Source organism: Homo sapiens, chromosome 1, assembly GCF_000001405.40.
Source record: "Homo sapiens chromosome 1, GRCh38.p14 Primary Assembly".
In the NCBI taxonomy this organism is placed as follows: domain Eukaryota; kingdom Metazoa; phylum Chordata; class Mammalia; order Primates; family Hominidae; genus Homo; species Homo sapiens.
Window position 1 is genome coordinate 165760832 of NC_000001.11, and position 25044 is coordinate 165785875.

Below are 25044 nucleotides of genomic sequence, written 5' to 3' on the forward strand. Positions count from 1 at the left end.
TGTAATGTATTTATATTATATTTACCATCTTTAATCACCTGTAAATGGACTAGGGATATGTCAAAAATTACCTTTACTTAGTTTATTTATATTATCTGTTACCCATATTATCTTAGTATACTAATAGCAAACAGTACGGTATAGGTACCATTTCTAAAACCTACATTAAAGAGAATTAGCGGGTAGAACTCTTTCCCTTAGTACATGAAGTTTGTCCCTGAATTCTAAAAGCAAAATTGGTATCACTGCTTTATCCAAGAATTGTAAAATTCAACTTGACTCCAATATTGCAAATGAAATTTAAAAGGCTGGCCAAAATAAAATATGTGTTTTGTGTATTTGTGTGTGTGTGTGTGTGTGTGTTTGTTCTGGAAGACTAAGTAACAGATACTGTTCTAGGTAAATAGAAAGGTAAGATACAGGCCAGGCATGGTGGCTCAAACCTGTAATCCCAGCACTCTGGTAGGTTGAAGTGGGAAGACTGCTTGAGCCCAGGAGTTTGGGATCAGCCTGGGCAACATGGCAAGACTCTGTCTCTATAAAAAATTGAAAAATTAGCCGAGTGTGGTGGCACATGCCTATAGTCCCAGCTACTCAGGAGGCTGAGGCAGGAGGAGCTCCTGAGCCCAGGAGCTTGAGGCTGCAGTGAGCTGTGTTCACTTCACTGCACTCCAGCCTATGCGAGAGCGAGACCCTGTCGCCAAAATAAAATAAAACAAAACATCATGTACATGGAAAGAGAGAGAGAAAGATTTTGAATGAACATACTAGTGAGAGATCATAAAAGAAAAATGTCAAATTTCACATTTTAAAATGTTATAAAAATAACATTTTATGTCGGGTGCAGTGGCTCAGTTCTGTAAGCCCAGCACTCTGAGAGGCCAAGATGGGAAGATCATTTCAGTTCAGGAGTTCGAGATCAGCATGGGCAACACGGTGAAACCTCGTCTCTACCAAAACTACAAAAATCAGCCGGCCATGGTGGTGCACTCCTGTGGTCCCAGCTACTCAGGAGGCTGAGATGAGAGGATCATGGAAGCCCAGGAAGTCAAGACTGCAGTGAGCCATGATTGGGCCACTGCACTCCAACCTGGGTGACAGAGTGAAACCCTGTCTCAAAAAAATAAATAAATAAATAATAAACATTTTTATTAAAATGTTATAAGGATAACATTTTTATTAAAATGTTATAAGGATAACATTTTTATTAAAATGTTATAAGGATAACATTTTTATTAAAATGTTATAAGGATAACATTTTTATTAAAATGTTATAAGGATAACATTTTTATTAAAATGTTATAAGGATAACATTTTTATTAAAATGTTATAAGGATAACATTTTTATTAAAATGTTATAAGGATAACATTTTTATTAAAATGTTATAAGGATAACATTTTTATTAAAATGTTATAAGGATAACATTTTTATTAAAATGTTATAAGGATAACATTTTAAAAGACAAAATGGACAGAAAACACTTAATGTTTTGTTCTTTATCATTGTTATTAAACAAAGAAACAAAAATATTTCTTTCCCACCCCAGAAGGACTATAACACAACTACTTGGCATTTAACCATGACTGCATAGAAAACAGGGCAATAAAAAGACAGAAGGCTAGAGAATAGAAACATAAGACAATTCCATAAACATTAGTCTGGTCTTCTAGAAGACCAGATTGAGACTAGATAAATTGTTTTTAGGGATAAATTAATCTAATGTTTTTCAAACTTCATGAGGTTGTGATGAAACCTTGGTGTGTGGATATTTATTCATCAGAATCTCACCTGACAACAAGAAGTAGAAATGTCAGAGTTGACAAAAATAAAAGATGTCTACTATGAAACACATTTCTGTCCATGATCTGTATTCCTGCATTCTAAATTCCAGAGTTCTGCCAAACAGTTTATAAATTATTCTAAAAGATTTATCCTATTTTACCGTAAACAACAGAAATACCTCATACTTCACAGCAATTTATACTTAGTAAGTGCTCTCAAATAAACAACTGTGTTACAAGAATCAAGTTATATATACTGTATTTTAATCTTTTTCATTTATTGAAGTATCCTTTCATTAGTATATATTATAATAGTAACACAATAAAAGAAGACCTACTGATATTTAGAATACATCTATAAGCCCAGTGACCACCTGAGTCAACCAACTCACTACCTTTAAGAAAGCATTTCCTTTTGTTAAAAGCAGCTCAGTAGGACTGCTTTTTGGACAACAGTATTCTTCTAAAAATGCCAAGGACCAGATCAGCACAAGCAAAGTAACCTGTATCAAATTCTGATTCAAACCTCTTTATATTTTTGATATTCTTCAAAAACCCTACAAACTTCCCTTGCTTAAATTCATACTACGTTCTGAATACAAAGTATCAGAAGGAATTCTGTATTTGCAATTAAGACATTTGTTCAAAGAGGAAATTTACCTTATATTTTTCCTTTTTAATATTCCTCATGCTAAATATAATAGTTGTGCATTTGATTATACATTCCAGAAGACAGAATTTGTGGCCGCTCATTTCATATTGTACTTACTACAGTAAACTAAACACATAGCAAGCAATCAAATAAGTCGACTGATCACATAAATAAAAATAATACACGTTTACTGAGTTTTGGTAGATTATCCAGAGTAGAGGACCTAAGACCACAAGAAATGCCATGAGTCATTCCAATCATCAACCTACCTCATACTTACCTTCAAAGGAAGCATATGAAGAAATTATAGTAAAATTGCAACTACAGATGTGTAAACTGGCAAATGTATTACTTTGTTTCATTTTTGTTAGAGATTGGGTCTCAACTCTGTCACCTAGGCTGGAATGCAGTGGCCCAATCTCCCCTCTCTGCTCACTGCAAACCCCGCCTCCTGAGCTCAAGCAATCCTCCCACCTCAGCCTCCCAAGTAGTTGGGACCACACACACATGCCACCATGTCAGGCTAATTTTTTGTACATTTTGTAGAGATGGGGTTTTGCCATGTTGCCCAGGCTGGTCTTGAACTCCTGAGCTCAAACAATCTACCTGCCTCAGCCTCCCAAAGTGTTGGGATTACAGGCGTAAGCCACTGCACCTGGCCTCAACTGTATTACTTTGAATTGCAGTGTACAGTAAAGGAGACTTTTCATTTATTTCTATAAAGTAAATAATTAAAGACAAGGCAATATTGTAGATACCAGTGAAGCTCAAAATCTATAAGGCAAATCCATATTATATAAATATTTAAGGTATAAGAATATTCAAACCAATTTGAAGCTAAATTTGTTTTGTATTTCATAAAACTACTCAATGATATAAATGACATGAAGAAATGTATACAGGGATGCCATTGCATGCTGCCAACTAGCATAGGATCATAGCAGAACAATTTTTCACAAAGAATATATGTGATGTTATGCTACACAGATAATTTATTAAATACACATTTATCAAGTATCTAATATGTGCCAGGCACTGCATTAGGTACTGTGGATACAATGGCCTTTGTCCTCATAGCAATTACAGTTTTGTTGAGGAGAGAGACATTACCCTGATGACCATAATCATATATAGGTAAAACTGCAGTTGTGACAACCACTCTAAGGAGAGGTATGTGGATAAATCATAAACTATGATAGGAAGATTTGGCCCTGTCTGGGAGACTGGATAAGGCTTTGAGATCTGAAGAATGAGTAGGAGTTTACTAAACAAAATGAGAAGGGAAACTTATCGCAGGTAGGAGGAACAACAGATACAAAGTGCCTGTAGTAGGAAACCATAAGACTAGCCCAGAGGACAGAAAAAAGGCATGAATGAATAGAGAATAGGGAGCAAGAGAGAATATGATACAAGATGTAGCCAGGAGAAGGGAGGGTGGTACTGTGCTGTGCTGGACCTTACAGGCCACATGTTTATCCTAAAGCAATGTGAAGAAATTGAAAGGTTTTAAGAAAGACAAGTAACATAATCAGATTTGTGTTTTAAAAAATTACCCTAGATGCATTATAGGGGGCAAATTTGAGTGGCTGCAGATGGACCAGAGAGGAGGTTACTGCAGCAGATTAAATGAAATATAATAGAAGTTTAGACTAGGTGGTGATGGGAGAAATGAAGAGATGTGAAATGATCTGAAAACTATTCAGGAAAACAACAATAGGGCTTGGTAATGGACTGCATATATGGGGCAAAAGAAGAAAGCATTCAAGTCAACAAATGTTTGTTAAACATTTACTATGTGCCAGTCAGTGTTCTAGGTAAACAGGATACATAGGTAAACAACAACAAAGAACCGTGCCCTAGTGGAGTTTTCATTCTAGCAGGTAGAAATACACAATAAGCAATAACATGATAAATAAGTAAATCATACAGTATATTAGAAAGTAATAAAAGCAACAGAAAAAATAGAACAGGGTAAGGAATATTAGGAGTAGGGGAGATGGGCAGGTTGCAGTTTTATTTTATTTTTATTTTTTTTGAGACAAGAGTCTTGCACTGTTGGCCAAGCTGGAGTGCAGTGATGCAATCTCGGCTCACTGCAACTTCCGCCTCCCAGGTTGAAGCAATTCTCCTGCCTCAGCCTCCCAGGTAGCTGGGATTACAGGCATGTGCCACCACGCCCAGCTAATTTTTGTATTTTTAGTGGAGACGGGGTTTCACTATGTTGGTCAGGCTGGTCTCGAAGGCCTGACCTCGTGATCCACCCACCTCAGCCTCCCAAAGTGCTGGGATTACAGGCCTGAGCCACCGCGCCCTGCCTTGCAGTTTTAAATAGAGTGGTCAACTTAAGAGTCAGAGGTGATGTTGGAACAAAGATTTGAAGAAGGTAATAGGATTAGCCCAGCACATATTGTAGGGAAGAACATTTCTAAGCAGAAGGAATCACCACTAGAAAGGTCCCAGCACAAGAGTATGGCTAGTATGTGTAAAGAACAGCAAGCTGGACAGTGTGGGTGAAGCAGGGTAAGTGAGAAGAAAGAATATCAGAATGGTAAAAAGGAAGCATCTGTAGGATGCTGGCTTTTCTGCTGAGTGAAAGGGACATGATCAAATAGGCTTTTAAAAAGATTATTCTGGCTGTCATCTTGAGAACAGACTTCAGGGAGACAGGAACACTTGTTGGAAACTACTGCAATAATCCATGCAAAAGATCATGGTGCTTAGACCACAGTGGTTAACACTGGAGCTAATGAAAAGTGGTCAGATTCTGGATATCGGAAGCTTTCTGAACCTTTACTGGTTTGGGGTGTTTCTTCAAAAAGGAAACCCAACAGTATCTGCAGACAGACTAGATGTGGGTTGTAAGAAGAGTAAAAGATAACTACACAAGAATTATGGCCTGAGCAAGTGGAAGGACAGAAATGCCATTGACCAAGATAAAGAAGGCTACAAATGACACAGGCTTAGACATGAGGAACAAGTATTCAATTTGGGACGTGTTGGGACTGAGCTGTCCACCAAACATTCTAGCTGACATAACAAATTGATGCGTGGATATATGAATCTTGTATTAAGAAGAGAGGGCCACAGACATAAATTTGGGAGTCACTGGCCAATACAGCCAAAAGATAAGTTCACCAAGGAAGTGAATGTAGAGAAAAAAACTAAATTTTGTGTCACTCCCAACAACGGGAGGTCAAGAAATGAAACCATCAAGTAAATTGCAGAAGAATGATCAGTAAGGGCTGGGCACTGTGGTTCATGCCTGTAATCCCAGCACTTTGGGAGGCCTAGCCGGGAGGATCGCTTGAGCCCAGGAGTTTGAGATCAGCCCTGGCAACAGAACAAGACCTCATCTCTCCAAAATATCAGCCAGTCATGGTGGTGTGCATCTGTAGTCCCAGCTACTCAGAAGTCTGAGGCAGGAGGATCGCTTAAGCCTGGGAGGTCCAGGCTGCAATGAGCTCTGAGGGGTGACAGAGTGAGACCCTGTCTCAAAAAATAAATAAATAAATAAAAAATAAAAAAAGGATGACTAGTAAGATGGAGAGCAGCAAAACCGAAAGTATGGTGTCCTGGAGCCAAATTAATAAAGCATATCAAGGTTTCTGGCTTACACTACTGGAAGCATGGAGGTACCCATCACCAAGATAGGGAAATCCTGGAAGAATATCACGTTTGTGAAGGTAAAGATAACGAGTTTGGCCCAGATATGCTGAGGTACATAATCAACACTGAGTAAATTAAGGAACAGTAAGCTGTAATTTTAAAAGCCTGAGTCTGGTCTCTAATTCTTTGTTTGCTCTGTGACGTAAGTTGTCATTATCATCCTGAGGCTCAATTTTCTTTCCTATGACATGGAGGTAATATTTATACGAGTAACCACAAATGGTTGCTGTGTAGATCAAATATGGTAATTTAAGAAAAAAAACTTCAAACCCCTATGAAGATATAAGAAAAAGTCACAGAATACAGAAAGTTGTAGGAATTCTAAGAAACAAAAGTTATATTTAATCCTTATAAGGAAAAAAAGAAGAGAGAAAACTAAATCAGGCCTATAAGGAACCATTCACCCTGTACCTTTAGCTGAGTCCTGTGGAATTCCTGCTTTATTTCAAAGGTAACAAACCCTTCTTGTTTTTAATCTTTTCCTTAAACACCTCTTCAACTTTCTAACCCAACTGAAACTCGGCTTATCTCTGAAGACACCACTTACCTTGACACCAGTCATAATGACATATCATCCTCCAAACATGCCTTAAATGTTAAGATTTCCATATTTTTGCTCATATGTTATTTCTTTACCTGGAATTTCCTTTCCCCATTTCATTCTCTATCCAAATTCTAACTATCCACAAGGAACTGCAAGGCCATCAGCATCATGAAGGCTACCATGGTTCCTCACAACTGAATGAAGCCTCTTCTTCTTTTTTTTTTAAAGACAAGTCTCACTATTGCCCAGGAGGCAGTGTAGTGACACCATCGTGGCCCACTGTAGCCTCAATCTCCTGGGCTCAAGGGATCCTCATGCCTCAGTCTCCCAAATAGCTGGGACTATAGGTGTGTACCACCATACCCAGCTAATTTTTTCTGTAGGGACGAGGTCTCCCTATGTTGCCCAGGCTGGTGTCAAACCCCTAAGTTCAGTCCTGCCTCAGCCTTCCAAAGTGCTGGGATTAACAGGAGTAAGCCACTGCGCCAGATTGAACCTCTTCTTTAGAACCACCACAGCACATAACATGTATCTGCTACGCCCCTCACTTCCCTCTAGTTGGTATTACACATTTTGCATAAAAGTCTTCTATTTCTAAATAGGCTTCAAGTCAGGTTCATCTTTGTATCAGCTGGTGCTCTTAAAATATTTATTGTGAACATGGACTTAATGAGCTTGACGTGTTGAAATTATTTCTAATGTGTTGCCATACTCACATTTTTTACTCTGTTTTTCCACTTCTGCCTTCAGTCTCTTGTACTTGTCTGTCCTGTAAACCAGGACCCAGGTTATGCCTAAAACATTAAAAGCAACATGTTAATAGAGAAATGACTGGAATGATCACAACAAACAAAGTGGTTACTGTTGGAGAAGGAGGAATTCCAACTTTTCGCTTTGTATTTACCCATAGTTAACTTTTTTCAAAGGCTAATACAACTGACTCTTCAGCCAAAACAACAGTAACATGATGTGAAGGTGTCTCCACAAATACCCAAGTGAAATCTACCTGAGACCAAAGAAAACTCGGCAATCGACTCCATACTCCCCTCCTGCTCCTGTTCACGAGTTGCCCAGAGATTCCCTGAAGTGGAGTAGATGAGCCTCTCAAGCAAGTAAGGCTCGCGATCTTTCCCCTGGTGGCACAGGGGACCCCGGGGCCCTTCCTCCCGGGGACTGATCAAACGTCTGAGAAATACCCGCTCTCACCCTCTGCGAGCAGAGCCGTGCACACAGAGATAAAAACGATGAGGAGAGTGTCCGCGAACATAGTGCTCATCTCGCACCTTCGTCTCTGCACTCTCACCCGCCAGGGGGAAAGCGCTCTACAGCCAGGAAAAGTGAAGCGAAAACGGCTTCCGTAGACTCCGCCACCACCGAGTAACAGACCAACTCTGACAGCCCGAAGATCGCACTTCCGCTTCCGGGGCATAGCACCGGAAAGGCTCGTATCGGAGAACGGTGTGGCCACGAGAGTCTAGAGGAAACCAACCCGCAACTCACTGGAGCTGAAGGGCTGGTAGTCAGGCCGAATCTCGCGAGAATTGGAACTATTTCAGAGCCAGAGGAGGATAGTGGCGGCGGCGAACTTTGCCCGGTAGATTTTACTGACTGGGGTGCTGGCGCGCGCCTTTTTCTCGGCCAGAATCCAGTTATTGGGATAGTCTTGACTTCTACCTCAGCCCAACTTCTGTGGTCGTAATATTAGTTTAGCTTGGGTTTGCCGTGAAGTAAGAAGACTGACTTCCGCAAAGGTACTGAACGACTGGGTGTAGGTGCCAGGGCATGGACGTGAAGCTGGAACCGCGAAATGAGTTAGTTGTGGGCCGCTGGCCTCAAGGAGCGAACGTCAGCGCGAAGAGGAGAAGCTTGTGCATACGCTCTGATAAGGGTTTTAATAGAGGTATTACCACAGTGCTGCGTGACACGGTTGAGAGAGTGGTCAGAAGAAGCTAATGAAAGGAATTGAAGCAGTGCCTTAGGGGAGTAGGAGTACTTTTGGAGATAGCAAAGGACTTTCTAGGCAAAGTGGAAGTCAAAGCACGGATGCCTGAAAATTCATAGTGTGATAGTGCAGTGAGTAATGTATCTAGAGAAGGGGTCTTAAACCCAGATGCCTAGACTGGCGAGAGAAAATAAATTATCTTATGCAAGCTGAGCCTAAACAAATGGTGGAAGTTACTACGATGGATAAGTGAGCATTAAGTTCATCTGAAAGGAGAATTTGATACCCAAATCCAACCCATTTCTCTAGGAGAATGAGCACCCAGTTTCTGAGATGTCTTCGTTTCTCAGGAAAATCCAGAAATCCTGGGTTTTATGTGAAACTTAATTTATAAGTGTTGCTAACTAATTAAAATTCAAAAATGTCTCAGCAGCGTGGTTTCAGCCATTGTAGACGGTTTCAGCTTTTTCACACTGGGGTGTGTGTGTGTATGGGTGAAAACCTGGAAGCTGGCTGAGCTGTATCCTCTTGTACTTCCTCCTATCATTGGTGTTTTTTTGTTTGTTTGAGATGGAGTTTCACTCTTGTTGCCCAGGTGGAGTGCAATGGCACAATCTCGGCTCACTGCAACCTCTGCCTCCGGGTTCAAGCCATTCTCCTGCCTCAGCCTCCCAAGTAGCTGGGACTACAGGTGCCCGTCCCCACGCCCAGCTAATTTTTTGTATTTTTAGTAGAGACGGGGTTTTGCCATGTTGGCCAGGCTGGTCTTGAACTCCTGACCTCAGATCCACCCACTTCGGCCTCCCAAAGTGCTGGGAATACAGGCGTGAGCCACCGTGGCCGGCCCTCATTGGTTCTTTTAAACTGTACTGCACTTAAATATATAATTCTCCTAAACACTACTTTTGACTTTTTTTTAGCTTTATGTGCATTTCTTGTCTCCCAGACTTAGCAACAGAGACCCTGTCTCCTTTTTAAGAAACATTATTGAGCTTCTACTATATGTCAAGAACTGTGGTAGGCACTGTAGGGTCAAAAGGATGGTTAAGAGAATATTCCTGACTTCTAAGGGCCCAGGGAGATTATATAATATAATAAGATTATAGGTATTATAGAGGTATTCTTAAAATGTTGAGGGGGTACAGATGAAAACAAGATGTATTCTTCCTGGGGAGTTGGAAAGGTTTCAGAAAGATCATATTTGAGCTAGACCTTTATTTGAGCAGTTCAGACAAGGATAGGTTTTTATTCACCTTTGTATCACCCAAGGTAAGTGCTGAGATAACAATAAGAGCATGATCTTGGAAATCAGACCTGATTTTAAATTCTTGCTCTGCCACTTACTTGACAGCAGTCCTAGAACCTATTGTTTAGCATCTTTGAGCCTTCAAAATGGTGGTAACATCAGCTATGAAGACTGGATGAGGAAAAGTATATTATAAAGCATTTCAAGCAGTGCTTGGCACACACAATTCATCAAATTCAACATGCTATTCATTGTAAGACGCATCATTATTTTATCTACTACTAAAGAGGAAAAAATAACTAATTAAACCATGACACACCATTGATTGTAAGAAGAATCCCATTCAGAGATGTTAAAATATGAAAAAATGAGAAAATATGAAATATATTAATAAGCAGTTAAGTTATTCCTGTGTAAATGTTTACAACCATGGACTGCTAGGATACACTTCCTTTTCTAGGGTAATGATGTCATGACACTATGCCCCTTGTTTAAGAACAGTGCTAGAAGTCAGGCGCGGTGGCTCACGCCTGCAATCCCAGCACTTTGGGAGGCTGAGGCGGGCGGATCACGAGGTCAGGAGATTGAGACCATCCTGGTTAACACGGTGAAACCCCGTCTCTACTAAAAATACAAAAAAATTAGCTGGTCGTGGTGGTGGGCGCCTGTAGTCCCAGCTACTCGGGAGGCTGAGGCAGGAGAATGGCGCGAACCTGGGAGGCGGAGTTTGCAGTGAGCCGAGATGGCGCCACTGCACTCCAGCCTGGGCGACAGAGCAAGACTCGGTCTCAAAAAAAAAAAAAAAAAAAAAAAAGGAACAGTGCTAGAGACAAGTTCAGATAACATCTTTTCTAGATTCTACTAGTTTTCTTTGTTATATTCCCAAATTCTCTAAGCTCTTAGTTGTACTATCTAATTTTTAGATTTCAAAGCTTTCCCCATGAGGACTGCTCTCCCAAAGCTCACTGACCTCCTCCAATCTCTAGTACAATAGGAAGACTTTTGTCCTGGGACTTAATTTTACTATTCTCTTGAAACCACATTTTTGTTTCTAGTTTATACTTGATGTTGTGGTACATCTTCAAGTAACTTTCTGTGAAAGGTGAATGGGAGCTAAGCCTGTTCTTACATTATTAGTAGAATTAGTAATAATAATACTGTTGTTGCTTTGGGGTTGTGTTTTGTTTTCTAGAGACAGGGTCTCACTTTGTTGCCCAGGCTCGGTCTCGAACTCCAGGGCTCAAAGCAGTCCTCCTGCTTCAGCCTCCCAAAGTGTTGGGATTACAGGCATGAGCCACCATGCCCAGCCAATACTGTGCTTCATTTTTATTTATTTATTTAATTTATTTTTGAGATGGAATCTCACTCTGTCGCCCACGCTGGAGTGCAGTGGCACAATTTTAGTTCACTGCAACCTCTGCCTCCCGGGTTCAAGCGATTCTCCTGCCTTAGCCTCCGGAGTACCTGGGTTTACAGGCATGCACCACCATGCCCAGCTAATTTTTGTATTTTTAGTAGAGACAGCGTTTCACCTTTTTGGCCAGGCTGGTCTTGATCTCCTGACCTCAAGTGATCCACCCACCTCGGTCTCCCAAAGTGCTGGGATTACAGGCATGAGCCACCGCGCCCAGCCCAATACTGTTCTTTAAATACACATTTAATACTAAGCTAGGCATTGTAAAAGATTATAAGAGAATTATAAATACCTGCTTACACTCTGACATTTGAAACAATATGAACTTTACGTTTCAATTTTAGCCCCACTGCATGTAAGCTACCTTATTTTAGCAAGTTACTTAATTTATCTGAGCCTCATTGTTTTAAATCTGTAAAGTATAAGTAAAAATATCTACCTTCAGGAATTACCGTGAGGTTTGTATAGGGTTGGGAACAAAGTTCTGGAGTCAGACTACTTGTATTCAAATCCTGGCTTCTCCATTTAACTAGATGTGCAGTTTTAGGCAAATTACTTCACCATACCATGCCTTGGTTTTTCTGGAATGTAAAATGTCATAATAGTATGTAAATTTAAAGGATTTTATTTTTAAAAAAATATGTAAGGAAAGTGTTTAGAAGGTACATGGTCTGTCTGTGGATATACCAGAATCAATCTATTGTGTTCTTTTCCCCAAACTCCAATATTCCCTTGTTCTCTTAATGAGTAGCACCACCATCTAACTGGTTTTCAAGCCAAAAATAAGGGAACTATCTTCAGTAACTCCCTCTTTATCTCGCGTTTACTTTGCAAGTTCCATGGATTTCCCCCTTTTCATATCTTTTTACACATCTTTCAGTCCCCTCTACTACACTTCAATTCAGTTCATCATTATCTCCACTCGTATTACAGCTTTCTAACTGGTCTCCAATTGTATACCCAATTTTGTCCCCTTCAGGCCATTCTTCTCATTTAGGCAGTAGTGATCTTTGTCAAATACAAAGATGACTGGGTGTGGAAGATTGGGAAGAAGAAGGAATTGGGGGGCAGCTCGCAGATTTTTTTCTTAGATACCTGAATGAATTCATATCAGAGAAAACAGGAGAGGAATCCGGTTTTTAGGAGAAGATTTTTTTTTTTTCCTACTGGGCTAGCAGGACTAGATGAAGACCTTCAGAAACCCTGGGCACTGAGAAGATCATAAGGTCTCTTCCCAAATATAATTAAAAATAAAATACTAAGGTGAAATATATTTTAATTATTATTTTTGAACTTATTTTTTCCAAATGTTTTCCCTCGAGTCTGTGCATGTGTGCCCTAAATACATGTTTCATCGGCTAGTTGGATAATCCTGTACTGTTGTGTTTTCTTTTAGAGATGGAATCTCGCTGTGTCACCCAGGCTGGAATGCAGTGACTCGATCATAACTCACTATGACCTCGAACTCCCAGGCTAAAGCAGTCCTCAAGCAATCCTTCCACCTCAGCCTTCTGAGTAGCTGGGAGTAGCTGATTAACTAATGCGTGTCACCACGCCCAGCTAATTTGTGTATGTGTGTGCACAGGTGTAGAGCTAGGGGTCTTGCTATGTTGCTCAGGCTAGTCTTGAACTCCTGGCCTCAAGCAGTCTTGTCTTGACCTCTCAAACCAGTGGGACTGTAGGTGTGAGCCATTGCTCCTGGCTGAGCACTGTTTTTTTTAGGACAGACTGTATTCATTGTTGCAATCTTCAGCTTTTGGAACATCGTCTAGGACAGAGAAGCTGCACAATATGTATTTATCGAATGAGTGAATGATACTTTTGGGAGAGAAGACAGTGGGTTGGAGAAATATCTTGGAAGAATTGGAAATTTTAGGTGGACCTTGAAGAAAGGGTAAAATTCAATTAGGACACAAGCAGTGATCAAAAGCATTGAGTTGGGAACAAAGTGGTAGGATGTGGGAGTTAGTATATAGTAAAAACAACTAAAATATAGAAAGAGATTATGTGTTTAATAGAAATAGGATTGACTAAAGTGAATCCACGTTGTATCTGTAAGAGGTCCATCGTTGAACTTTATTTTTTTTTGTTTTGTTTTTGAGACAGGGTCTCACTCTGTTATCTAGGCTGGAGTGCGGTGGCACAATCTCAGCTCACTGCAGCCTCAGCCTCCCAGGTTCAAGTGATTCTCCTGCTTCAGCCTCCCATATAGGGATTACAGGCCTGCACCACCACACCTGGCTAATTTTTGTATTTTTAGTACAGACGGGATTTCACCATGTTGGCCAGGCTGGTCTCGAACTCCTGACTTCAAGTGATCCACCCGCCTCGGCCTTCCAGAGTGCTGGGATTACAGGCCTGAGCCACTGCACCCAGCCACCTGTATTTATTTTTGAGACAGGGTCTTGTTCTGTCGCCTTGGCTGGAGTGCAGTGGTGCAATCATGGCTCACTGCAGCCTTGACTTCCCAGGCTCAATGAATAGCTGGGACTACAGGTGTGCACCACCATACCCGGCTAATTTTTGTATTTTTTGTAGAGATGGTGTTTCGCCATCTTGCCCAAGCTGGTCTCAAACTCCTGGCCTCAAGTGATCCACCCGTCTAGGCCTCCTACAGTGCTGGGATTACAGGGTTGAGCCACCACACCCAGCCTCATGGTTGAATTTTAGGAGAGCCGTACATCTCCTCCTGATAATACATGCAAAACTTCATGTGTCCATTTTTTTCTGAGTTGAAGTTTCATAGTTTTCATCCAATTCTCAAAGGTGTTTATAAACCAATAAAGGTTAAGAATCATGTTGTGCATTTGAAAGACTAATAGAAAGGCTTAAGCTTAATGCTGTAGCAAATTAGTCTTCAAAAGTTTTCTACCATAGCATTCATTAGGAACAGAAGAGGGGGAATGAGACCCTAAGATTTAGAGATGAAGTCTGAAACTTAGGACTTTATATTTATCTGAACATCATATGTAAATTTTACTATTATGGGACTGGTATTAATGCTTCCTTATAAAAATATATTTAGCCTCATCAGTGATCAGGGAACCATATTTGGGACCAGTCTGTTCAGTTGGCAAAAATTAAAAAGGCCATCATATCAGAAAGGAGAAGGTAAAATGATTTGTTCACAGACAGCATGATCTTTTATGTACAAAACCCTAAAGATTCCACCCAAAAAACCCTGTTAGAACTAAAAAACAAAGTTGCAGGATGCAAAACCACACAAAATTTAGTTGCATTTCGATGTAAAATTTAAAAAGGAAATCTTAAAAATTCCATTTGCAACAGCATCAGAACTAAAATACTTGTGAATAAATTTAACCAAAGAGGCAAGACTTGTACACTGACAACTACAAACATTGCTGAAGCAAATTAAAGAATATAGAAATAAGTGGAATGACGCACTGTGTTCATAGATTGAAACAGTTAATATTAAGATGTTGATACTACTCAAAGTGATCTACAGATTCATTAGGTAATCCCTGTCAAAATCCCAGTGACTTTTTTTCAGAAATAGAAAAATTCATCCTAAAATGTATATGAAAACTCAGAGTACCCCAAATAGCCAAACAATTTTGCAAGAGAACAAAGTTGAAGGTCTCATGCTTCCTGATTTCAAAATTTAACTATAAAGCTACAGTAATCAAAACACTGTAGTCCTAGCATAAAGACAGACATATAGAATAAAGAACCCAGAACTAAACCCTCACATATATGGTCAATTGATTTTTGACAAGGTTGTCAAGACCAGTCAATCAATGGAGAAAGGATATCCAGTTTTCTCCATTTTTACATGTGGATATCCAGTTTTCCCAACACCATGTATTTAAAAGATAAATAACCTAAATGATAAATCTAAATGTCTAAAAAATAAATAATCTAAAAATATCCAGTTTTTTTGGGGTCAGGTGCAGTGGCTTACGCCTGTAATCCCAACACTTCGGGAGGCCGAGGTGGGCAGATCACTTGAGGTCAGGAGTTCGAGACTAGCCTGGCCAACATGGTGAAACCCCATCTCTACTATAAATGCAAAAATTATCTGGGTGTGGTAGCGGGCACCTGTAATCCCAGCTACTTGAGAGCCAGAGGCTCGAGAATCGCTTGAACCCGAGAGGCTGAGGTTGCAGTGAGCCAAGATCGTGCCACTGCATTCCAGTTGGGGTGACAGAGCGAGACTGAGTCAAAAAAAAAAAAAATCCAGTTTTCCCAACAGCATTTATCTTTTCAATAAATGGTGTATTTTGCATGTGGATAATCCAGTTTTCCCAACACGATTTATCTTTAAGATAGCCACATGCAAAATTAACTCAAAATGGATCAAAGACTTAAATGAAAGTGCTAAAACTCTTAGATGAAAACAGGAAAACCTTCATGACATTGGATTTGGCAATGATTTATTGAATATAACACCAGAAGCAAAGGCAACAAAAAATAAATTGGACTTTATCAAAATTAAAAATGTTTATTCATCAAAGGACACAACAGAGTGAAAAGGAAACTCATGGAATGGGAGAAATATTTACAAAGCATATATCTGGTAAGGGATTAAAATCCATTATAAATACATTTTAAAATCCTTCAACTCACCAAATAAAATCCCAATTCAAAAATGGGCAAAGGACTTAAACAAAGGTTTCTCCAAAGAAGATAAGCAAATGGCTGATAAGCCCATGAAAAGATGGTCAACATAACTAACTAGGGAATTGCAAAACAAACCACTTCACACTCATTAGGATGGCAGTTATTTAAAAAAAAACAAAACAGGGCCAGGTGCAGTGGCTCATGCCTGTAATCCCAGCACTTTGGGAGGCCGAGGCGGGTGTATCACGAGGTTGGGAGTTCAAGACCAGCATGAACAACATGGTGAAACCCTGTCTGTACTAAAAATACAAAAATTAGGTGTGGTGGCGTATGCCTGTAATCCCAGCTTCTCAGGAAGCTGAAGCAGGAGAATCACTTGAACACAGGAGGTGGAGGTTGCAGTGAGCCGAGATCATGCCACTGCACTCTAGCCTGGGCGACAGACCGAGACTCCATCTCAAAAAAAAAAAAAAAAGTATTAGTGAGGAAGTGAAGAAAGTCAACCCCTTATGCATTGCTGGGATGAATATAAAATGATACAGTCGGGATGGGAAATCAGTATGGTTGTTCCTCAAAAAATTAAACCTAAGGTTGGGCACAGTGGCTCACGCTTGTAATCCCTGCACTTCGGGAGGCTGAGGCAGGTGGATCTTGTGAGCCCAAAAGTTTGAGATCATCCTGGGCAACATGGCAAAACCCTGTCTCTAGAAAAAGTACAAAAATTAGCCAGGTGTAATAGTACATGCCTGTAGTTCCAGCTACTCAGGAGGCTGAGGTGGGAGGATCACCTGTGCCCAGGAGGTTGAGGCTGCAGTGAGCCATGAGCATGCCACTGCACTAAATAAAGAATTACCATAGGATCCAGCAATTCCACTTCTAGTATCTACCAAAAGAATTGAAAGCAGGGACTTCAAAAGATATTTATATATCCATGTTCATGGCAGCATTATTCACAGTAGCCAAAAGGTGGAAGTATCCCAAGGGTCCATCAATGGATGAATGGATAAAATAATATGGTATATACATACAATGGGATATCATTCTGCCTTGAGAAATTCTGACATGTGTTATAACATGGATGAACTTTGAAGATACACTAAGTGAGATAAGCTAGCCACAAAAGAACAAATAGTGTATGATTTCTCTAATACCAGAAGTAAACCAAAAGTATCCAAGACAGGTCTCAATCCATTTAGGAAGTTTATTTTGACAGGGTTAAGGATGTACCTGTAATACAGCCTCAAGTGGTCCCAAGGTGGTCGGGGTACAGCTTGCTTTTATACGTTTTAGAGAGTCATGAGACATCAATCAATACATGTAAGATGTACATTGGTTTAATCTGGAAAGGCAGGAACACTTGAAACTGGGGCTTCCAGGTCATAGGTAGATTAAAAAAATTTTTTTATTATACTTTTAGGGTACATGTGCACAACATGCAGGTTTGTTACATATGTATACATGTGCCATGTTGGTGTGCTGCACCCATTAACTCGTCATTTAACATTAGGTATATCTCCCAATGCTATCCCTCCCCCTCCCCCCACCCCACAACAGGCCCCAGTGTGTGATGTTCCCCTTCCCCTGTCCATGTGTTCTCATTGTTCAATTCCCACCTATGAGTGAGAACATGTGGTGTTTGGTTTTTTATCCTTGCGATAGTTTGCTGAGAATGATGGTTTCCAGCTTCATCCATGTCCCTACAAAGGACATGAACTCATCATTTTTTATGGCTGCATAGTATTCCATGGTGTATATGTGCCACATTTTCTTAATCCAGTCTATCATTGTTGGACATTTGGATTGGTTCCAAGTCTTTGCTATTGTGAATAGTGCCACAATAAACATACGTGTGCACGTGTCTTTATAGCAGCATGTTTTATAATCCTTTGGGTATATACCCAGTAATAGGATGGCTGGGTCAAATGGTATTTCTAGTTCTAGATCCCTGAAGAATCACCACACTGACTTCCACAATGGTTGAACTAGAGTCCCACCAACGTGTAAAAGTGTTCCTATTTCTCCACATCCTCTCCAGCACCAGTTGTTTCCTGACTTTTTAATGATCGCCATTCTAACTGGTGTGAGATGGTATTTCATTGTGGGTTTGATTTGCATTTCTCTGATGGCCAGTGATGATGAGCATTTTTTCATGTGTCTATTGGTTGCATAAATGTCTTCTTTTGAGAAGTGTCTGTTCATATCCTTCTCCCACTTTTTGATGGGGTTGTTTGTTTTTTTCTTGTAAACTTGTTGGAGTTCATTGTAGATTCTGGATATTAGCCCTTTGTCAGATAAGTAGATTGCAAAAATCTTCTCCCATTCTGTAGGTTGCCTGTTCACTCTGATGGTAGTTTCTTTTGCTGTGCAGAAGCTCTTTAGTTTAATTAGATCCCATTTATCTAGTTTGGCTTTTGTTGCCATTGCTTTTGGTGTTTTAGACATGAAGTCCTTGCCCATGCCTATGTCCTGAATGGTATTGCCTAGGTTTTCTTCTAGGGTTTTTATGGTTTCAGGTCTAACATTTAAGTCTTTAGTCCATCTTGAATTAATTTTTGTGTAAGGTGTAAGGAAGGGATCCAGTTTCAGCTTTCTACATATGGCTAGCCAGTTTTCCCAGCACCATTTATAAAATAGGGAATCCTTTCCCCATTTCTTATTTTTGTCAGGTTTGTCAAAGATCAGATGGTTGTAGATATGTGGCATTATTTCTGAGGGCTCTGTTCTGTTCCATTGGTCTACATCTCTGTTTTGGTACCAGTACCATGCTGTTTTCGTTACTGTAGCCTTGTAGTATAGTTTGAAGTCAGGTAGCGTGATGCCTCCAGCTTTGTTCTTTTGGCTTAGGATTGTCTTGGCAATGCAGGCTCTTTTTTGGTTGCATATGAACTTTAAAGTAGTTTTTTCCAATTCTGTGAAGAAAGTCATTGGTAGCTTGATGGGGATGGCATTGAATCTATAAATTACCTTGGGCAGTATGGCCATTTTCACGATATTGATTCTTCCTACCCATGAGCATGGAATGTTCTTCATTTGTTTGTATCCTCTTTTATTTCATCGAGCAGTGATTTGTAGTTCTCCTTGAAGAGGTCCTTCACATCACTTGTAAGTTGGATTCCTGGGTATTTTATTCTCTTTGAAGCAATTGTGAATGGGAGTTCACTCATGATTTGGCTCTGTGTTTGTCTGTTATTGGTGTATAAGAATGCTTGTGATTTTTGCACATTGATTTTGTATCCTGAGACTTTGCTGAAGTCGCCTATCAGCTTAAGGAGATTTTGGGCTGAGACAATGGGGTTTTCTAGATATACAATCATGTCATCTGCAAACAGGGACAATTTGACTTCCTCTTTTCCTAATTGAATACCCTTTATTTCCTTCTCCTGCCTGATTGCCCTGGCCAGAACTTCCAACACTATGTTGAATAGGAGTGGTGAGAGAGGACATCCCTGTCTTGTGCCAGTTTTCAAAGGGAATGCTTCCAGTTTTTGCCCATTCAGTATGATATTGGCTGTGGGTTTATCATAGATAGCTCTTATTATTTTGAGATATGTCCCATCAATACCTAATTTATTGAGAGTTTTTAGCATGAAGAGTTGTTGAATTTTGTCAAAGGCCTTTTCTGCATCTATTGAGATAATCATGTGGTTTTTGTCATTGGTTCTCTTTATATTATGGATTACGTTTATTGATTTGTGTACATTGAACCAGTCTTGCATCCCAGGGATGAAGCCCACTTGATCATGGTGGATAAGCTTTTTGATGTGCTGCTGGATTCGGTTTGCCAGTATTTTATCGAGGACATTTGCATCGATGTTCATCAGGGATATTGGTCTAAAATTCTCTTTTTTCATTGTGTCTCTGCCAGGCTTTGGTATCAGGATGATGCTGGCATCATACAATGAGTTAGGGAGGTTTCCCTCTTTTTCTATTGATTGGAATAGTTTCGGAAGGAATGGTACCAACTCCTCCTTGTACCTCTGGTAGAATTCGGCTGTGAATCCATCTGGTCCTGGACTTTTTTTGGTTGGTAAGCTATTAATTATTGCATCAATTTCAGAGCCTGTTATTGGTGTATTCAGAGATTCAACTTCTTCCTGGTTTAGTCTTGGGAGGGTGTATATGTCGAGGAATTTATCCATTTCTTCTAGATTTTCTAGTTGATTTGTGTAGAGGTGTTTATAATATTCTCTGATGGTAGTTTCTATTTCTGTGGGATCGGTGGTGATATCCCCTTTATCATTTTTTTATTGCGTCTATTTGATTCTTCTCTCTTTTCTTCTTTATTAGTCTTGCTGGTAGTCTATCAATTTTGTTGATCTTTTCAAAAAACCAGCTCCTGGATTGATTGATTTTTTGAAGGGTTTTTTGTGTCTCTATTTCCTTCAGTTCTGCTCTGATCTTAGTTATTTCTTGCCTTCTGGTAGCTTTTGAATGTGTTTGCTCTTGCTTCTCTAGTTCTTTTAATTGTGATGTTAGGGTGTCAATTTTAGCTCTTTCCTGCTTTCTCTTGTGGGCATTTAGTGCTATAAATTTCCCTCTACACACTGCTTTGAATGTGTCCCAGAGATTCTAGTATGTTGTGTCTTTGTTCTTGTTGGTTTCAAAGAATATCTTTATTTCTGCCTTCATTTTGTTATGTACCCAGTAGTCATTCAGGAGCAGGTTGTTCAGTTTCCATGTAGTTGAGTGGTTTTGAGTGAGTTTCTTAATCCTGAGTTCTAGTTTGATTGCACTGTGGTCTGAGAGACAGTTTTTTATAATTTCTGTTCTTTTACATTTGCTGAGGAATAAGTATGGTGTGATGCTGAAAAGAATGTATATTCTGTTGATTTGGGGTGGAGAGTTCTGTAGATGTCTATTAGGTCTGCTTGGTGCAGAGCTGAGTTCAATTGCTGGATATCCTTGTTAACTTTCTGTCTCGTTGATCTGTCTAATGTTGACAGTGGGGTGTTAAAGTCTCCCATTATTATTGTGTAGGAGTCTAAGTCTCTTTGTAGGTCTCTAAGGACTTGCTTTATGAATCTGGGTGATCCTGTATTGGTTGCATATATATTTAGGATAGTTAGCTCTTCTCGTTGAATTGATCCCTTTACCATTATGTAATGGCCTTCTTTGTCTCTTTTGATCTTTGTTGGTTTAAAGTCTGTTTTATCAGAGACTAGGATTGCAACCACTGCCTTTTTTTGTTTTCCATTTGCTTGGTAGATCTTCCTCCATCCCTTTATTTTGAGCCTATATGTGTCTCTGCAGATGAGATGGGTTTCCTGAATACAGCACACTGATGGGTCTTGACTCTTTATCCAATTTGCCAGTCTGTGTTTTTTAATTGGAGCATTTAGCCCATTTACATTTAAGGTTAATATTGTTATGTGTGAATTTGATCCTGTCATGATGATGTTAGCTGGTTATTTTGCTCGTTAGTTGATGCAGTTTCTTCCTAGCCTCGATGGTCTTTACAATTTGACATGATTTTGCAGTGGCTGGTACTGGTTGTTCCTTTCCATGTTTAGTGCTTCCTTCAGGAGCTCTTTTAGAGCAGGCCTTGTGGTGACAAAATCTCTCAGCATTTGCTTGTCTGTAAAGGATTTTATTTCTCCTTCACTTATGAAGCTGAGTTTGGCTGGATATGAAATTCTGGGTTGAAAATTCTTTTCTTTAAGAATGTTGAATATTGGCCCCCACTCCCTTCTGGCTTGTAGAGTTTCTGCCAAGAGATCAGTTATTAGTCTGATGGGCTTCCCTTTGTGGGTAACCTGACCTTTCTCTCTGGCTGCCCTTAACATTTTTTCCTTTATTTCAACTTTGGTGAATCTGACAATTATGTGTCTGGGAGTTGCTCTTCTCAAGGAGTATCTCTGTGGCGTTCTCCGTATTTCCTGAATCTGAATGTTGGCCTGCCTTGCTAGATTGGGGAAGTTCTCCTGGATAATATCCTGCAGTGTTTTCCAACTTGGTTCCATTCTCCCCGTCACTTTCAGGTACACCAATCAGACGTAGATTTGGTCTTTTCACATAGTCCCATATTTCTTGGAGGCTTTGTTCGTTTCTTTTTATTCTTTTTTCTCTAAACTTCCCTTCTTGCTTCATTTCATTCATTTCATCTTCCATCACTGATACCCTTTCTTCCAGTTGATCGAATCGGCTACTGAGGCTTGTACATTCATCACGTAGTTTTCTTGCCTTGGTTTTCAGCTCCATCAGGGCCTTTAAGGACTTCTCTGCATTGGTTATTCTAGTTAGCCATTCGTCTAATTTTTTTTTTCAAGGTTTTTAACTTCTTTGCCGTGGGTTCGAACTTCCTCCTTTAGCTCAGAGTAGTTCAATTGTCCGAAGCCTTCTTCTCTCAACTCGTCAAAGTCATTCTCCGTCCAGCTTAGTTCCGTTGCTGGTGAGGAGCTGCATTCCTTTGGAGGAGGAGAGGTGCTCTGATTTTTAGAGTTTCCAGTTTTTCTGCTGTTTTTTCCCCATCTTTGTGGTTTTATCGAGCTTTGGTCTTTGATGATGGTGACGTACAGATGGGGTTTTGGTGTGGATGTCCTTTCTGTTTGTTAGTTTTCCTTCTAAAAGTCAGGACCCTCAGCTGCAGGTATGTTGCAGTTTGCTGGAGGTCCATTCCAGACCCTGTTTGCCTGGGTATCAGTAGCAGGGGCTGCAGAACAGCAGATATTGGTGAACAGCAAATGTTGCTGCCTGATCGTTCCTCTGGAAGTTTTGTCTCAGAGGAGTACCCGGCCATGTGAGGTGTCAGTCTGCCTCTACTGGGGGATGCCTCCCAGTTAGGCTACTCGGCGGTCAGGGACTCACTTGAGGAGTCAGTCTGTCCATTCTCAGATCTTCAGCTGCATGCTGGGAGAACCACTACTCTCTTCAAAGCTGTCAGACAGGGACATTTAAGTCTGCAGAGGATTCTGCTGCCTTTTGTTTGGCTATGCCCTGCCCCCAGAGGTGGAGTCTACAGATGCAGGCAAGCCTCTTTGAGCTGCGGTGGGCTCCACCCAGTTCGAGCTTCCTGGCCGCTTTATTTACCTACTCAAGCCTCGGCAATGGCGGGCACCCCTCCCCCAGCCTCGCTGCTGCCTTGCAGTTTGATCTTAGACTGCTGTGCTAGCAATGAGCAAGGCTCCACGGGCGTAGGACCCTCCGAGCCATGCACGGGATATAATCTCCTGGTGTGCCGTTTGCTAAGACCATTGGAAAAGTGCAGTATTAGGGTGGGAGTGACCTGATTTTCCAGGTGCTGTCTATCATCCCTTTCTTTGACTAGGAAAGGGAATTCCCTGACCCCTTGCGCTTCCTGGGTGAGGCGATGCCTTGCCCTGCTTTGGCTCACGCTTGGTGCGCTGCACCCACTGTCCTGCACCCACTGTCTGACACTCCTCAGTGAGATGAACCCGGCACCTCAGTTGGAAATGCAGAAATCACCCATCTTCTGCGTTGCTCACGCTGGGAGCTGTAGACTGGAGCTGTTCCTATTTGGCCATCTTGGCTCCTCCTCATTTTAAAATGTTCTGATCAGCAGTTGGTTGAAAGAGTTATCAATGAGTGTCTGGGTTACAGTAAGAAGTTGTAGAGACCAAGGTTTTATCATGCAGATGAAGCCTCCAGGTGGCAGGCTTCACAGAGAATAGACTGTAAATATTTCTTATCAGACTTTAAGAGTCTGTTCTGTCAGTAATTCCAAAAGAGAGGAGGGTATAATTAGGCATATCCAGCTCCCTGCTTCCATAATGACCTGAGCTAGTTTTTCAAGTTCACTTTGGAATGCCCTTGGCCGAGAGAAGGCTTCCATTCTGATAGTGTGGGTTGGGGGGAAGAGGGGATGGTGCTTATAATTTTATTTTTGGTTTAAACAGGTATCTAGAGTAGTCATATCCATCAGGACAAAAAATAGAATGATGGTTTCCTAGGCTGGAGGAGGGGAGAATTGAGAGATATTTTTAGATACAGATTTATTTTATTTTATTTTATTTTATTTTTTTGAGATGGTATCTCACTCTGTTGCCCAGGTTGGAGTGCAGTGGTGTAATCTCAGCTCACTGCAACCTCCACTTCCTAGGTTCAAACTATTGTCCCACCTCAGCTTCCCGAGTAGCTGGGATTACAGGCATGCGCCACCATATCCAGCTAGTTTTTGTATTTTTAGTGGAGATGGGGTTTCACCATGTTGGCCAGGCTGGTCATGAACTGCCGACCTCTGATGATCTGCCCACCTCGGCCTCCCAAAATGTTGGGATTACAGGTGTGAGCCACTGCGCCCAGCCTAGATACAGAATTTCAGTTGAAGAAGATAAGTTCTAGAGATGGATGGTGGTAATGGTTGTACAGCAGTGTGCATGTACTGAATGTCTCTGAACTATATACTTAAAAATGTTTAAAATGGTAAACCTGATATATATATGTTAAAGAAATGTTTAAAGTTGGCCCATATCTGGAGGATACAGATCATCAGAATATCTTAATCATTGCTGGTGGGAGTGTAAATTGGTATAGCGCTTTTGGAACAATTTGGCGTTATCCTGTAAAGATAAACATTTCCATGCCCTTTGACCTGCCATTTTGCTCCTAGGCATATACATAAAAGAAACTTTGTTTTTTTTTTTGAGACAGAGTTTGCTCTGTTGTCCAGGCTCAAGTAAAGTGGCACAATCACAGCTCACTGCATCCTTGATCTTCTGGCCTCCAGCTATCCTCCCACTTCACCCTGCTAGTAGCTGGGACTACAGGTGCATGCCACCATGCCCAGCAAATTTTTTTTTGTTTTTTTTTGGTAGAGGCAGGGTTTCACTATTGTATTAGTTCATTTTTACGCTGCTGATAAAAACATAACCGAAACTAAAACCAAAAAGAGGTTTAATTGGACTTACAGTTCCACGTGGCTGGGGAGGCCTCAGAATCTTGGTGGGAGGCAAAAAGCACTTCTTTTTTTTTTTTTTTTTTTTTTTTTTGAGACGGAGTCTCACTCTGTCACCAGGCTGGAGTGCAGTGGCGTGATCTCGGCTCACTGCAACCTCTGCCTCCTGGGTTCAAGTGATTCTTCTGCCTCAACCTTCCAAGTAGCTGGGACAACAGGCGCACGCCATCATGCCCAACTAATTTTTGTATTTTTAGTAGAGATGGGGTTTCATCATGATGGCCAGGCTGGTCTCCATCTCCTGACCTTGTGATCTGCCCACCTTGGCCTCCCAAAGTGCTGGGATTACAGGCCTGAGCCACCAGG

General features: G+C 40.7%; 1 protein-coding gene and 1 long non-coding RNA gene across 5 annotated transcripts in view, besides 2 other annotated features; one reads left to right on the forward strand and one right to left on the reverse strand.

Annotated features, from left to right (window-relative positions):
- The window catches only part of TMCO1 (transmembrane and coiled-coil domains 1), a 44632-nt gene extending 36541 nt beyond the window's left edge, over positions 1-8091 (reverse strand). The window contains exons 1-2 of one of the 4 annotated variants that reach the window (NR_045818.1): positions 7928-8091; positions 7361-7438 (exon numbers count right to left, since the gene is read on the reverse strand). Coding sequence is in view for 3 of the 4 variants with exons in the window: in NM_001256164.1 (NP_001243093.1) it covers positions 7361-7413; positions 7928-8073 (199 nt within the window). In the remaining variant the exon portion in view is untranslated. Of the gene's footprint in view, positions 1-7360; positions 7439-7650 lie in introns of all 4 variants that reach the window. The other 3 variants (NM_001256164.1, NM_001256165.1, NM_019026.6) reach the window with 3 other exon arrangements.
- Positions 7648-8324: an enhancer, noted in NCBI's record as "H3K27ac hESC enhancer chr1:165737716-165738392 (GRCh37/hg19 assembly coordinates)". NCBI's record gives its function as "activates a minimal SCP1, AML or CMV promoter by ChIP-STARR-seq in primed H9 embryonic stem cells {active_cell/tissue: H9 hESC(primed)}" and the evidence as "EXISTENCE:reporter gene assay evidence [ECO:0000049][PMID:30033119]".
- On the forward strand, positions 8098-14618 carry TMCO1-AS1 (TMCO1 antisense RNA 1). Its single transcript, NR_125374.1, has 3 exons — positions 8098-8544; positions 12643-13602; positions 13878-14618. It is a non-coding gene; the product is annotated as a TMCO1 antisense RNA 1 (long non-coding RNA).
- Positions 8325-9000: an enhancer, noted in NCBI's record as "H3K27ac hESC enhancer chr1:165738393-165739068 (GRCh37/hg19 assembly coordinates)". NCBI's record gives its function as "activates a minimal SCP1, AML or CMV promoter by ChIP-STARR-seq in primed H9 embryonic stem cells {active_cell/tissue: H9 hESC(primed)}" and the evidence as "EXISTENCE:reporter gene assay evidence [ECO:0000049][PMID:30033119]".
- Positions 14619-25044: the final 10426 nt, after the last annotated feature.